Source organism: Homo sapiens, chromosome 4 (assembly GCF_000001405.40).
Source record: "Homo sapiens chromosome 4, GRCh38.p14 Primary Assembly".
Lineage (NCBI taxonomy): Eukaryota > Metazoa > Chordata > Mammalia > Primates > Hominidae > Homo > Homo sapiens.
Genome location: NC_000004.12, coordinates 6,073,931 through 6,089,872, shown reverse-complemented (window position 1 = coordinate 6,089,872; position 15,942 = coordinate 6,073,931). Strand labels below are relative to the sequence as shown.

Genomic DNA, 15,942 nt, shown 5'->3' with positions numbered 1-15,942 from the left:
TCTGCAAAGGCCCTATTTCGAAGTAAGGTGACATTCTGATTTTCGGGGTAGATGTGACATTTTGGGGGACATTATTCATCCCACTACAGGTACCAAGAATGAGAATTGATGTTGAGGTAGTGGCCTCTGCTTCAGTCTTTGATTCCCCCAAACTTTGCAATAAAGTGGAGCTCACCAAATCAGTCATGGGTCAGTGGGCTTGTTTTCACTAAGATACATTTCCTGGTGGACTTGACTGCTTAGAAACAACCGGACTCTGTTCCTTTGGGGCAGAGGGGACAGGGAGGGCTTGGAGAGTACAATCTGCACTTGAGTCATGGTTCTGCTGCTAACTAGAGTGTTAGCACATTCCCCTTTCTGGGCCTCAAGTTTGTGTGTAACTTGGGGTAAATGATGTCCACTTTGAGGATCTTTTAAAGACTCAGAGAGTGTCTCTTAAGTACAAATGAGTACCTAGCTCACGCTAGCATTAAGAGAGGAGTGATAGCCAACATCAAGTTTGTCGTTCTTCCCTGAACTCTGTTGATTGTGATTCTTTTGGTCGCAAGTGACAGAAATTCCATCAAACCAGCTTAGGCCATGGGTGTCTGTTGGCTCCCCCAACTGAAGTCATGGGATTTGCTGTAGGTGCAGCTCCAGGTGCACTAACGATGTCATCCAGGATCCCAGGTTCTTGGGCTCTGCTCTGCCTCCTGCTGTGTCATTCCCAGGCTGTGGGCTCTCATGCTGTGCTGGGGGGATGCCACCACTGTGCCAGGTCCCACATTCTCACACCACACAGCCCAGAGTCCCTTTCTTAGCTCCTAAAGAAAAACAGGAGGATCCTGGTGCTGCCTACTTCTGGCCATTGGTTCTGATTGGATTGTGCATCCATCCCTGAAGCAATTACTGTTGGGACAGGGACATTTGGGTGGCATGAGCCAATTGGGGACTGCCCTGGGAACTTGCAGTGATGTTCGTTCCACCCCTTTCCTACTGCACATGCTGAGACTGGGCGTATGGGAGAAGGGGAAATGGATGCGGGAAGGAAGCTGAGGGATGTTCCATATGGTCAGGTGAGCAGTTCCAGGAAGCTTGAGATTTCATCAGCATCCCAAGGGCAGCGAGATAGGATCACTAAGAGCTCAGCTTGTGATCCAGGAGTAAAGTCAGTGAACTGTGAGTGTGCCTGCCTCTTGCTACGTGAGCGTGGCCAGTGTCTTAACCTCTGGGGCCTCAGGACTCTCATGCTGGCTCCGGAATGTGTTCTGCATTGGCCCTCCGTCCGTTTCTAGATGCCATCTCTGCTGTTTGAGAATATTTTCTAGGAAACTTTCTTGTGATGACTGGGGCAGAAGCCCTCTGTCTCACTTACTAGGACAAGGGGGAATTGGTGCTCTTCCAGGTGGAGAATTTGGGATCCTGGAGATGTCTTGCTCGCGACGGTGCTGTCTTTTGTGGGGAGCTAGTGGAAGGCAGTGGCGGGGGCTTCACTGCAAAGCTGATACTGAGGGGCAGACAAGAACCCTCCCTTACCCGTGATGGACAAACTGTTGGTTTGCAACACCCTCCACTGCCCCTACCGATTTCCTTTGCTTTGATGTTGTTATTGTTTTTTTTCCCCCTCATAGCACAAATCACTCTCAATCACTACAATGTCTGCTTATTTATTATGTTTATTGCCTGCTCCGCCCACTAGCAGAATAGAAGCCCCTAGGGCAGGGCGGCTGGTCTCTTTTGCTCTCTAATGTTTCTCAGCACCCACTGATAGCGCTCAGCTCAGCATGTGTTGAGTTAATGAAAGCGTGCTTGAGTGAATTAAATGAATAAACTCCTTCTGCATAATGATTTTTGCTTTGGGGTTGGCATCTACATTGGCAGTGGTGTTTTCAGCATGTTTAAAGATTCCTCCTGTGGAAGGGACAGTGCTCCTACCCATTTGGAAATTGCAACACTCGGGATTTGGGATTTGGCCCAAGCAGGTAGATGCTGGTGGATCATCACCAGGGGGAGCAGTGGGCACATTCAGCAGCTGCTTAGGAGAAACTGCATGGAGCACCCATTGCAGGGGCCAGGATATCATCCTGGCAGATGGAAACAGCCTTTTGTCTTCCAAAGAAAGGTGCCTCAGAGAGCTCTTAAGTACAAATTAGTACCTAGCTCACAACTAGCACATAAGAGAGAGGTGATACCTCTGGCACGTTTTTTGTTCTTTCCTGAACTCTATGTCAATTAGGATTATTTTGGTTGCAAGTGATGGAAATTCCACATCAGAACTGTAGCACCGTGGTATGTGGCTGGAAAACCTCTCAGTCTGGAATCTAGGAGTACCATTTCCTTTCTTCTCTCATCTCTATGTTATTTTTTTCAGTTTTTAGTGGTCTTCTTTTAAAATAAAATAGCCTCGTGTTACCTAGGGGCTAGAAGAGATTAACAGTGGCAGTGAACACTGATGGCAGGCTTGCGATATGCTAGGCACTGTACCAAATTCTTCTCATGGTTGCTCTAAAGCTCCTCAACAGTTAGACAGAGTTGGTTCTAAAGTCTTCCTATTGTCCATATTTTACAGAGACAGAAGTTGAGTCAGAGAGGTGGCCCAACCTGCCCATGGTCATATGGTCAGGGTTGGGGGGTGGGCGGGATTTTAGCCTGCTTCTCTCTGCTATCAGAAGAGGGCCCTTCACCCCAATTCTCTGCTGTGGCAGTCTGTGTCTGAAATCAAGGTTTATGATTTAGAAGTAAGAGCTTTGGATTGTAATCCACTGAAATGTAACTTGCTACGTGAGTGAGCTGAGCAGGAGGAGCCTTTGCATCTGTTTCCTTGCAGCTGCCGCAACAAATAATCTCAAACTTCATGGCTTAACATGACAGAAATGTGTTCCTATACAGTTCTGGAGGCCAGGAGATTGAAATCAAGGTGTCTGCATGCCCACACTTCCCCCTAAGGCTGTGGAAGAGGATCTTTCCCAGCCTCTTCCTGATGCTGGTGTTGCTGGCTGACCTTGAGTTCCTTGGCTTGAGGCTGTGTCCCTCCAGCCTCTGCCTCCGTCCTTACACGGCCTTCCCCTCTGTGTCTCTCTTCTCCTCTCATAAGGACACCAGTCATAAGGGCCCACCCTGCTCCAGGATGACCTCATCTTAACTAATTGCACCTGCAGTTACCCTCTTTCCAAATAAGGTCCCATTCTGAAGTTCCAGGAAGGCCATGGGTCTTGGGGGCCTGCTATTCAACCAGGACAGTGCCTTCACTGGAGCATCCAGAAAAAGCCAGAGTGGATGACCTGGGGCTGACACTTCCTCTGCATACTTTTTTTGGTGTGGTTCCTCACTGTCACCCGGCCCACTGTGTTGAGCCTGTGTCCTTTCTGACACTCCCCCATAGGAAGGCTGGACAAGACAGGGCTGGGGGTGAACTGAAGATTAAGTTCAGGTTTGTACGTGGAGAGGCTGTGGTCCCTCCGAGATCCAAGCAGAGGTGTCAGGCAGCCAGCTGGTTCTGTGATTGTGGAGCTCAGAGAGAAGCCAGGGCTGAGGCATGTGTTTAAGATCTGCTGCATATGTGGGGTTGATACCGTCGGGGAGGACCTGGCTGCCTGGGAGAGGATATAGAGTGAGAAGAGGCCCGAGCCTTGGAAACTCCAGGCTTCAATGAGAGCCAGAGCAAGACAGTCTATAAAGAAGATAGAAACCATGGGAAGTGGCCTTGGGGAGAGGGAGCAGGAGGTCGTGAGTCTGGGAGTGGGTGACGGAGTCAGGGCGGGAGGACAACGTTGTCCGGTGGGTTCGGTGGCCAGGAGAGCACTGGTGACCTTGGCAGGAGCTGTCTGGTGGTGAGGGTTGGGGAGTTGTGGCCAGGCAGGAGAGGGTCAATGACTGAGAGGGAGACATGGTCCTGGAGACGGAGAGAGAAGCCAGCTCTGCCAAGAAGCTGAGCTGCAGAGGCCTGGCTGGGGGCCGGCAGTGTTTTATTGTATCTCATTAAAGTGAGAGAGACAGGAGCATACACTGATGTCAGTATGCATGTCAGGTTGAATATGTATGTGCTTCAACCCTTAGCTCTGTCTCCTCTGTCTTGTGGGAGTGACGGGGAACAAGCCCTGGGCTGCGGGCTGTGCTTGCTCTGTGTCTGGAGTTTACTGAATTCAGTTGACCCAGGCCCGAGACACTGCTTTGACCTTTCCCTGGGCCGAAGGCCCCAATTTGGGGAGAGATTTCCTTGGTCATGAGCCCCTAGGGCTGACTGCTTATTCTTTCTCCTTTTCAGATGGATGAGATCAAAGGGAAAGACCGTGTGATTCTGGCCTTGGAGAAGGAACTTGGCGTGCAGGCTGGGCAGACCCAGAAGCTGCTTCTGCAGAAAGAGGCTTTGGATGAGCAGCTGGTTCAGGTCAAGGAGGCCGAGCGGCACCACAGTAGTCCAAAGAGAGAGCTCCCGCCCGGGATCGGGGACATGGTGGAGCTCATGGGCGTCCAGGTGAGGGGCAGCAGCTTGTGCCAGCCTCAGGCTGGTCCCCCACCCATTTAGGTGGCATTTTTCTGGTCAGCCACAGAGGACTCTGAGGTGGCATGTATTCACTCATTCATTCATTCACTCAGTATTGGAGGGGATGTTATAAGTTCTTTGTGCTGGACGCTGTGTGAGGTGCCGGTGCGTGGCGGCCTTTGTAAGAGATACGGGGTGGGAGGGGCCTGACCACAAGGGCCCCAGGGAGCCACGGAAGGGTTTGAAGTCTCAGTGGCCGTCTAGATGGAGTCTTCCGCAGGTGTGCAGTGGGCTTGGGTGTTCCCCACCTTGCTGTGTGGCATGTGGGCCCCTGAATAAGGATCTCACCCATTATGTCATGTGAATTTTCTAAGAAGGCTCCACACAACTTCTTCAAAGTACATTTACGTCTTGACTTTTTTTTTTTTTTTTTTTTTTTTTTTAGGATCAACATATGGACGAGCGAGATGTGAGGCGATTTCAACTAAAAATTGCTGAACTGAATTCAGTGATACGGAAGCTGGAAGACAGAAATACGCTGTTGGCAGATGAGAGGAATGAACTGGTAAGTAGCCCCAAGAGACAGGCGGTGCCTCATAGGGTGCAAGGAAGGGGCCCTGAGTCCCTGAAACATGCCCTGCACAGAAAGTTAATGCAGAAGCCTTCTGGTTCTCTGAACTTTCCTTCTTACTTCTTTTCGATTAAAAATCTAACACATGCTCATTGAAGAAATCTCTTACTGCCATTTGTTTTTGTAGGAACTTATCTTTAGCAAACAACTGGAGAACTTCCATGAGAAGCATGGAGAGGATGTTCATTGCAGTGTTGTTTATGTTAACAACCGAAACCGAAAAAAATCAACAATTAAAAAACCAAAAAACCCAATTGTTCAATACTAAAGCGTAGGGCAGAGTGATTATGGAATATTTATACAATGAATTCTAGACTGTCATTAAGATTGATGATGGAGACCCTCTTTAATTGAAATGGAAACGTGTTCATAGTAAATTAAATGAAAAATGCATTTTACAGAACAATAATACATTGTCATCATCTTGAATATTAGAAATTATTCTTTTTTTTTTTTTTTTTGAGATAAAGTTTCACTCTTGTCGCCCAGGCTGGAGTGCAATTGGCACCATCTTGGCTCACCGTAACCTTCACCTCCCGGGTTCAAGCGATTCTCCTGCCTCAGCCTCCCGAGTAGCTGGGATTACAGGCATGTGCCACCATGCCCGGCTAATTTTGTACATTTAGTAGAGGCAGGGTTTCTCCATGTTGGCCAGGCTGGTCTTGAACTCCTGACCTCAGGTGATCTGCCCGCCTCAGCCTCCCAAAGTGCTGGGATTACACACAAGAGCCACCACATCTGGCTAGAAGTTATTCTTTTAGGTGGTGTAATTATGGGTAATTTTAATTTGTGCTTATGTATTTACTTTTTTGCATAAAATTTTATATACTTGTAAACTAAAACTTATACATTAATTTTAAAAATAATGAACATGGACTTCTGGTTAAAAAAGAAATCTCCAGTAAAAATAGAAATTTCATGAATATGTTTACATTTTCTGGATAACAGCAAAACTAATTTTTATGTAATGGCAGTTGATACATCAACTTCTTGACAGATGCCTCATAATTTTTATGTTTATTCTAATTTTTATTATGAAGAGAAGTATATCCACAGAATATTTGAAAAAAATGAGTGGTGAAAAGTGTCCGTAAGTATCACCTCTTCACAACTTTAATAGGATCAAAATAAATTTACTTCCTTCCAGTATTTTTAAATGTTTTTTTTTTTTTGGCTTTAATCAGACTGTACATCTAATATTATGTCTCTACTCTTCATTTAAATATTTATAAGCTCATAAATACTCATGAGCTGCATAGTTTACTGAGTGGATTAGGAAAAAACACAGGCTTCTGGAAACATGTCAGATCAGACTGAAGTAGTTAAAAGTAGAAACTAATAAGTTTGCCAACGCTTCAATCTTTTTTTTTTTTTTTTGAGGTGGAGTCTTGCTCTGTCGCCCAGGTTTGAGTGAGGTGATGTGATCTCAGCTCACTGCAACCTCTGCCTCCCGGGTTCAAGTGATTCTCCTGCCTCAGCCTCCCAAGTAGCTAGGATTACAGGCACCCGCCAACACACCCGGCTAATTTTTGTATTTTTAGTAGAGATGGGGTTTCACCATGTTGGCCAGGCTGGTCTTGAACTCCTGACCTCAAGTGATCTGCCTGCCTCAGCTTCCCAAAGTGCTGGGATTACAGGCGTGAGCCACCGCGCCTGGCCTCAATCTTAAAATCATGAGGTAACTACTGCTAGTTTGGAGTGGTTCTTAAATGTTCTTAATGTTTAAATAAATACCTTAAAACTCACCGAGAGACTTTGTTTTATTTTATGGATATGAATTGGGATTTTTTTCCCTGCTGTGTATTGTTCTGCAACTTGCTTTTTTCACCTCATTGATCAATTACATCACTCCCCATCAGTGCTTAGAGATCTGTCTTTGTCTTTTTACCAGCGGCTTGGTAGTCCATTGTGTGGATATACCATGGTCTGTTCACCTCTCTTCCCAGTGGTGGATCTTTAGGCTGTTGCCGCTTTCTGGATTTCTGTGAGGTGCCACATGCCTGTAATCTCAGCACTTTGGGAAGCCAACGTGGGAAGATTCCTTGAGCTCAGGAGTTCCAGCCCAGCTTGGGCAGCATGGCAAAACCCCATCTCTAAAAATACAAAAAAATTAGCTGGGTGCAGTGGTGCACACCTGTAGTTCCAGCTACTTGGGAGGCTGAGGTGGGAGATCACTTGAGGCCAGGACGTCAAGGCTGCAGTGAGCTGAAATCACGCCACGGCACTCAAGCCTGGGTGACGAAGTGAGACCCTTTGTCAAAGTGACACATGTCATTTTACCTACCTTCTGTCTCGAAAAAAAAAAATGCCATGAAGAAGATACATATGGGTCTTTACTGACTTTACATAAAGGTTCAAGTCAGTAAAGACACGTATGTATCTTCTACATGGCATTTTTTTGGGGGGGCGGTAGGTTTCTAGAAGTAGAATGCATGGGTCACATGGTACATTTTATATTTCAACCTATACCATCAGAATATTTTACCTTAACATTTACAGCCTGGGGAGTAAACGCAGGGGTCTAGAGTCAGTCCCTTGTGTTTGAATCTTGGTGAACTCAAACCACCAATCTTTGCAAAAGTGCAAAGCATTCTTGGCACTTTCTTTGTGAAGTTGGGCCCATTGCCTCCTCTCTTTGGGCTCAGGTTCTTTGTCTATAAAATGCGGATGGGGAAGGTGGCCCCTTCACATGTGTTGGCTGTGCCTGTGGTTATCATGATATTGATAGATATTTAAGTTGTTTCTAATTCTTTCCATGAAAATAACACTGGGAGACTACCACTATGCATTCAATTCTCACCATGTGCCTAGGAGACAGGAGCTGCCGTGATTCTCATTTGATAGATGAGGAAACTGAGGCTGAGAACTTGCCCATTGTCATGCAACTAGCAAACAAATGTGTCATCCAGGACACTGGCCTCAGAAGGGGTCCTAACTGGGTTGAGTCTCTGCTCACCTCGGTGCTGTGACCTCGGCCGTCCGTCGTCAAGTTGTCTGAGCCTCTGTGTCTGTTTCCAACCACAGCTGAAACGCTCACGAGAGACCGAGGTTCAGCTGAAGCCCCTGGTGGAGAAGAACAAGCGGATGAACAAGAAGAATGAGGATCTGTTGCAGAGTATCCAGAGGATGGAGGAGAAAATCAAGAACCTCACGCGGGAAAACGTGGAAATGGTGAGCTGTGGACCCCTTGGGGACAGCCCTGACACTCCCTTCTCTGTCTGGGATTCTTCAGCCCTGAACCTCCCGATTCACATGTTCTGGGGCGCACCTGCTGCCCACCTCCCCACAAAGCACCAGGCACAGTGTCAGTCACAGATGTCTCGCCTTTCTCTCCACCTGTCTCACATTCACTGTGCTGTGGGTGTTTGTGCCCAGAGGGAGTCAGACAGCTGTGTCCTTAAACACATCCCCCATTCTCTCTGAGCCTCTGTTTCTTCATGCATAAAATGGGAATGAAAATATCCACACTGGAGGATCATCAAGAGGATGAAATAACAGCATGTAAAGACCTCACAGGGAACGGGCCCAGAGGACACCCAGCAAGTGAAAGCTGTTACAATGATCGCTGGCGATGCTCTGCAGAGGGGTTTCTCCTCCAGCTAGGATGCCTGGTGTTTGTGGTCAGGGCAGGCGTCTTGTAGTTGACAGTTTACAGAATGATTTCAGGTTCATTGTTCAGAGTAGTATCAACCCCCACTTCACAGCCGGGAAGACGGAGGCTCTGTCACCACACATGCTCTGCTGTCTGCACTGTAGCAGATGCAGGTGTGTGTGTGTGTGTGTGTGTGTGTGTGTAATTGCTGTTGTGTGAAGTCCTCTCCTTCCCCTGCCTTCCCCTCCCAGGTTTCTAGGCTCATTTCAAATGTCGTCTTCCACCCCCAGGCCCTGCGCATCCCTTCCTGTCAGCAGTGTGCATGGTCAGCCCCACCTTGGGCTTGGCTTTGGTCTGCCCTGTCCCCTCTTCCAGCACAGGACAAGGTGGCCACGTATTAGTCCATTTTCACACTGCTGATAAAGGCATACCTGAGACTGGGTAATTTGTAAAGAAAAAGAGGTTTAATGGACTCACAGTTTCACGTGGCTGGGGAGGCCTCACAATCATGGCAGAAAGCTAAAGGCACATCTTACTTGGCGGCAGACAAGACAGACTGAGAGCCAAGTAAAAGGGGAAAACCCTTATAAAAACATCAGAGACTTATTCACAACCACGAGAATAGTATGAGAGAAACCGCCACCATGATTCAATGATCTCCCACCTGGCCCCTCCCACAACACACGGGAGTTCTGGGAGCCGCAATTCAAGATGAGATTTGGGTGGGGACACAGCCAAACCATATCAGGCCATCATCTCTTTCATCCTCCCATCCATCCTTCTGTCCCTGCACCCCTGAGCTCCACTCCAGCACTGTCCCTAACAAACACTGTTGGCGGGTAACCCTGTGGTGGTCTGTCTCCCTGTGGCTGCAGAAAGAAAAGCTGTCAGCGCAGGCGTCTCTGAAGCGGCATACCTCCTTGAATGACCTCAGCCTGACGAGGGATGAGCAGGAGATCGAGTTCCTGAGGCTGCAGGTGCTGGAGCAGCAGCACGTCATTGACGACCTCTCACTGGTACATCTAGCACAGCTGGCGCGGCTGCCCCTGGCAGGGGTGGCACCAGCTGACATGGGTGTCAGGAACGGGTGTTGGGGCTCAGGGTGATGCTGCTGAGCTGGGTCAGGGTCAGGCAGTGCTGACTTTGGGACTCACCAAGCTCACCCTGGTGTGCACATTCCCGCTTCATTCTGCCACTAAGCAGCCTTGGCTTAAATGAGATCACTGGTACTTGGGGACAGTTTCCATGGCTACCCTTTTCTCACATCTTCTCCCTAGCTTGCTGTGATTGAGAAGCATCAGTTTTAAGGATGTCTTTTGGCCTTTAGAGACTGGGCATGATCTGTTCCAGAGAAGGCTTTTTGTTTGTTTGGTTGGTTGGTTGGTTGGTTTTTAGCTTAGCAGTTGCAGACTGTGAGTTTAGGCCCACAAACTTGAACCTTATAACCAGACCAGCACCTTGCTAAGACTGCCTGTGTGAGTTTTGGACGTGTATATGGGGCGTGCATCTATCAAAGGGGGTTGAGTATGTCCTAAGCGGTGGAGAATTGCATCCAGAGAATTCCACAGCTCTCTGTGAAAGGAACTTCGGCAACAGGCAGAGAACACCTGCAGGGAGCTTTAGTTGGATCTTAGAAGTAGAACGTGTTCTGCTCACCAAAGTGGGTGTGTGATGGTTCCATGCACTGGTTTTCAAAGAATAGAAAAGCTAGTGATCAAAATTCTAGAAAAGGCTTTGATTATAATTTTCATGTTCATTTTGCCTGCCTCCATCTCCCTCTACCTCTTTAACTTCTCTCTTTCTTCCTTTCACCCATCCATCCATCCATCCATCCACCCACCCATCTGTCCACCCATCCATCCATCCACTCACCCATTCTTTCATCCTTCCATCCACTTATCTATGCATACATCTATCTATCCATCCATCTTTGCTTCATTACACAAAAGACTCAATGCAGCTTAGGATGAAAAATATATTTCAGTGAAATAACAATAAAGTCAAAAGGTGGATAATAAACTCTCCCTGTAGCTCTCAGTTCAGAGAAGCAGCCATCACTTGGGCACTTAGAACTTCAACTAGCCATGCCTGGTGCGGATGGGCAGGCCCAGCTCCCTTTGAGAGCCAGTGGCTTTGGTTTGTGAGATGTGAGGCTGGCTGGAAATGCCAACCGTTGTGTTTCCTTCTAGGAGAGAGAACGGCTGTTGCGCTCCAAAAGGCATCGAGGGAAAAGTCTGAAACCGCCCAAGGTGAGCCTGCGATGGTGCACCTGCCCTACCTTGCCGCTGTGTCACGGATCTGCAGGGCAGATGGGTCGTGGAGTGGGGAGGTTTTACAGAGGGGTCCTGAAGCAGACACACACATCTCTGCATGCCTGATGATGAAAAGCCTGTCATCACCGTCTCTCAAAGCAACATAAATATGGCCGTGTCATGTGACCCAGTTATTGTAATTTATTCATGGAAAACTTCCTGATGTATTCTCCACTTAGGCTTCAGGGTATATTCACCCAAAATTAAAAACATAAATACTTAAACCTTTTGAAGGATTTAAGGGACATTCAGGGTTGGTTTATATGAGAGCATATCCTGTTCTAAAAAAATCAGGAGCTTTGTGTTTTTTTGGAATCATGCAGAACTGTAGTCTTTTTTGGAAAATATAGGTCTTTTGCTATTTCCTAGTAACAGTGTCTGAAGGAGCTGGGCTTATAAAATTCAAATGCCCACAGGGACCAATCTGGAATGTAAAGAGCGCACTGGAGCTGATACCAAAAAAAAAAAAAAAAGCATAGTTTGCCTTTAAACCTGTAAACCTATTTTTGGCTCCCACAAAGACACAGTTCTCCTCTCCATTTTTTTTTTGTTTTTTTTTTTTAGACAGAGTCTCACTCTGTTGTCCAGGCTGGAGTGCAGTGACACCATCTCGGCTCACTGCAAACTCCACCACCCAGGTTTAAATGATTCTCCTGCCTCAGCCTCCCGAGTAGCTGGGACTACAGGCACATGCCACCACGCCCGGCTAAATTTTGTATTTTTAGTAGCGGCAGGGTTTCACCATTTTGGCTAGGCTGGTCTTCTCTCCTTTTTATTGAACACAAGTGCCCCGTTTGGTTTATCTTTTGATGGAGATGTGGTTATAGAGAAATATTTCTCATCTATAAGGGAAACAGCTGTGCAAATGTGATAGTGAATGGCCAAAGACATGTGGTCTTGGTGTCAGGGTGACAACAGGGAATGGTGGGGACTGTGGCAAACTGGGCCCTGAATCCTGGTTGCTATAAGAAGGTGGACCGATGGCATCAGATAGTCCAGTTTTTCAAGGGAAATATAAATCCTTGTATGTTAGCTTCCTAGGGCTGCCTTAACAAAGTACCACAAAATCAGTGGCTTAGAGCCACCGAAAAAGACCGGGCACAGTGGCTCATGCCTGTAATTCCAGCACTTTGAAAGGCCAGGGTGGGTGGATCGCTTGAGCCCAGGAGTTTGAGATCAGCCTGGGCAACATAGCAAGACCCTGTCTCTACAAAAAATTAAAAAAATTAGCTGGATGTGGTGGCACCTGAAGTCCCAGCTACTTTGGAGGCTGAAGCAGGAGGACTGCTTGAGCCCAGGAGGTCAAGGCTGTAGTGAGTCATGATTTTGCCACTGAGCTCCAGCCTCAGTGACAGAGCAAGACCCTGTCTCAAAAAAAAAAAAAAAAAAAAAAGGAAAGGAAATGTATTATCTTACAGTTCTAGAGGCCAGAATGCTGAAATTAAGGTGTCGGTAGAGCCACGTTCCCTCCCTCTAAAACCCGTAGCAGACCCCTCCTTTCCTCTTCCTAGCTTAGAGTGGTTTCCCAGCAATCTTTGGTGTCCTTGGTTTGCAGCTTGAACTCCAATCTCTGCCTTCATTGTCAGTGACATTCTACCTGTGTGTCTCTGTGGCTTCACATATAAAGCCACCACTCATGCTGGATTAGGAGTCCACCCTACTCCAACGTGACCTCATGATAATTTAACTACATCTGCAATGATCCTATTTCCAAATAAGTCACATTCTGAGGTACTGGGATTAGGACCTCGACCTATCTTTTTGGGGGGATACAGTTTAATCCATAACACCTTACTTTATATGAAATTGAAGGATTTAAATGCTGGATTTTAAATGTCTGTAATTTTATATGTCCAAATACAGGTTGAACATCCGTAATCCAAAATCCAAAAATCCGAAATCCAAAATGCTCCAAAATCTGAAACTTTCTCAGCACCAACATGAGGCCAGGGAAATTTCACACCTGGCCTCATGTGACAGGTTGCAGTAAAAACACTATCAAAACTTTGATTCATGCACAAAATTATTTAAAATATTATATACAATTCCCTTCAGGCTATGTATTATATATAAAGTGTATATGAAACAAATGAATTTCATGTTTAGACTTGGGTCCCATCCCCAAGATACCTTATTCTGTTTATGCAAATATTCCAAAATCTGAAAAAACATCCAAAATTCCTTCTGGTTCCAAGTATTTCAGATAAAGGACACTCAGCCTGTAAAATATATACCTGTGGGCCACATAAAATATATCTATGGGTGCAATTTGGCTCCCAGGCTGCCTCCTGGTGGCCTTTACTGCAGCGTTCAGGTAATGCCACTTAGAGTGGCCTGGCTCATTGGTGATTTGCTAGGTCCTGGATTCTCAGATGAGTGGGTATTTAAACAATCTCATTGAATTCTCACAGCCACCCCATATAGTTGGTATTATTTTTTCAATTTTACAGCTACAGAAGACATATATATATATAATATAGAAAAACTCAGAGAAAAATTAAATTGACAAGGCTGAGTTTCAAACTCAAGTCTGAGACTACAAGGCCCAAGCTTTTCCCACCAAGCCAAGTCGAACACGGGGCAAATTTCTGCACATTGACATTAGAAACTCAGAAATAGGAAGTGGTTTGAGTAGAACTTGTCTATATTTATTTGTTTGTTTGTTTATTTTATTTTTTATTTATTTACTAATTTTTTTTGAGATGGAGTTTCGCTCTTGTTGCCTGGGCTGGAGTGCAATGGCACAATCTCGGCTCATTGCAACCTCTGCCTCCCAGGTTCAAGCGATTCTCCTGCCTCAGCCTCCCAAGTAGCCGAGATTACAGGCATGTGCCACCACGCCTGGCTAATTTTGTATTTTTAGTAGAGACGGGGTTTCACCATGTTGGCCAGGCTGATCTCAAACTCCAGACCTCAAGTGATCCACCTGCCTCAGCCTCCCAAAGTGCTGGGATTACAGGCATGAGCAGCTGCAACTGGCCATTCTTCCTGATTTCTGAATGTGTTTATGGGAGGAGAAATTCACAAAGGGTTGGAATTGAATCGTGATTTGCTACATTGCCTGTACAACAGGCAAGGACAGGGGCTGTGTCTGTCCTGCCCACTGTGGCCTGTTCATTGCCTGGCACAGAGTAGGTGTTGACTAAATAGTCCCTAAATAGTTGTTGGCTAAATAAGCGAATTGCCTTTACTGGAAAAATGTACTTGTATGACACTGGATTGTTGCAGAAGAACGGTGATGTGTGGTCACTTTAATGAAGATAGTTCCGTGTCATTAGGAGGCCGAATTTGGGGATCTGTGTAGAAACTTTCCTGAATGGGTTTAGGGTCTTTTCTATTCACTGTTTCCTGGGCCCACCAGCATTTTTTCTTTTTCTCAAGATTCAGTGTAGACTTCCGTGTGGACCAAGTTTTCTCCCATGTTCCTACTTAATCCTGGCATTGTGCAGGGCTGGATTGAATTGATACTTGGATCCATCGGGGCCCAAGCAGGTTTTGTAATCCAGGGTTGCCTTTTAGGCCTAAGAAGCTTCTCTTTCTTCTCTACCACAGGCCACAGGCATTCAGTACACTTGGCTTTCTGTATCTGTGGGTTTCACATCCATGGATTCAACCAACCTCTGGTTGAAAACCTTCAGGAAAAAAAAAATGGATGGTTGCATCTCTACTGAACATATACAGACTTTTTTTCCTTTTCTTTTTGTTTTGAGATGGAGTCTCACTCTGTTGACCAGGCTGGAGTGCAGTGGCACGCTCTTGGCTCACTGCAACCTCCACCTCCCGGACTTTTTTTTCCTTTTCATTATTCACTAAACAATACAGTCTAAAACTAGAGTCATGCATTCCTTAACAACAGGGACACATTCTGAGAAATGCGTCATTAGGCGACTTTGTCATGCAAACATCATGAAGTATACTTGCACAAACCCAGATGGTCTAGCCTCCTACACACCTAGGCTATTCAGTCTAGCCTGTGGCTTCTGGGCTGCAAGCCTGTGCCGCATGCTACTGTACTGAATACTGTAGGCAGTTGTAATCCAATGGTATTTGTGTATCTAAACATAGACAATGTACAGTAAAAATACAGTGTTATGATCTTATGGGACCGTTGTTGTATACTGTTGAGGACTGAGATGCTGTTATGCTGCACATAACTGGGTTTACAGGGCATCTGCACTGTATTAGGTACGATATTATAAGTAATCTAGTTAAAGTGTACAAGAGGATGTGCGTAGGTTATATGCAAGCACTACACCAATTTGTATAAGGGGCTTGAGCAGCCATGGATTTGAGTATTCGTGGGAGGTTCTAGAACCAGTCCCCCATGGGTACCGCAGGATGACTAGACTAGTTTCTTTTTCCCCTGAAATGCCCCCATCACTCTCTGTCCATCACACATGGAAGTGTTTTAACACTTTGCCAAAGGCTTTGCTTGACAGAGTACTGTGGTGAATGCATTGAAAGTTCCAGAACTTTCCAGAAATCTGACAGCCCCATCCCTACTCTCCAGCTCCTGACTTTCTGTCAGAAAGACCCTAGCAAACCTCCCTGGACTCCCTGCAGGAGGGTGCCTCCAGTCCACTCCCACACCCCAGCTTGCAGAAGATGCAGTCAGGGCAGAGCCTTGCAGAAGATGCAGTCAGGGCAAAGCAGAGGGTGTCCACCTTTGTCTTCCCGGAGCGTTTGTGTCCCTGAGGGCCATGACTCTGCCTTACTGGGCCTATCCAACAGTCCCCTTATGGGATCTCCTCCAGGGACAAGATTGGTGCTGATTATCTCATTTCCCAGGGAGCCTGCTGGTTCAGCGTGGGCTCACGTTAGCCCCAAAGGAGAGGTTGGAGGAGAAGGATCCTGAGTGGTTCCTCGGACTGTGCCCTGGGGACTGGGGTAGGGGGCTTGCTCAGGACCTGGGCCTCTGGCCATGTGGCAGTAAATTGTGTTGCAG

The 15,942-nt window shown here is 46.6% G+C and overlaps 1 protein-coding gene across 4 annotated transcripts in view, besides 2 other annotated features; it reads left to right on the top strand.

Moving 5' to 3' along the window:
- The window catches only part of JAKMIP1 (janus kinase and microtubule interacting protein 1), a 174,351-nt gene that overhangs the window by 110,677 nt on the left and 47,732 nt on the right, over window positions 1-15,942 (top strand). For all 4 annotated transcript variants that reach the window (NM_001099433.2, NM_144720.4, NM_001306134.2 and 1 more), the window contains 5 exons: window positions 4,244-4,453; window positions 4,908-5,027; window positions 8,118-8,264; window positions 9,561-9,701; window positions 10,875-10,934. In NM_001099433.2, the coding sequence (NP_001092903.1) occupies window positions 4,244-4,453; window positions 4,908-5,027; window positions 8,118-8,264; window positions 9,561-9,701; window positions 10,875-10,934 (678 nt within the window). The remainder of the gene's footprint in view (window positions 1-4,243; window positions 4,454-4,907; window positions 5,028-8,117; window positions 8,265-9,560; window positions 9,702-10,874; window positions 10,935-15,942) is intronic.
- Window positions 1,434-1,936: an enhancer, noted in NCBI's record as "NANOG hESC enhancer chr4:6089664-6090166 (GRCh37/hg19 assembly coordinates)". NCBI's record gives its function as "activates a minimal SCP1, AML or CMV promoter by ChIP-STARR-seq in naive H9 embryonic stem cells {active_cell/tissue: H9 hESC(naive)}" and the evidence as "EXISTENCE:reporter gene assay evidence [ECO:0000049][PMID:30033119]".
- Window positions 3,266-4,139: an enhancer, noted in NCBI's record as "H3K4me1 hESC enhancer chr4:6087461-6088334 (GRCh37/hg19 assembly coordinates)". NCBI's record gives its function as "activates a minimal SCP1, AML or CMV promoter by ChIP-STARR-seq in naive H9 embryonic stem cells {active_cell/tissue: H9 hESC(naive)}" and the evidence as "EXISTENCE:reporter gene assay evidence [ECO:0000049][PMID:30033119]".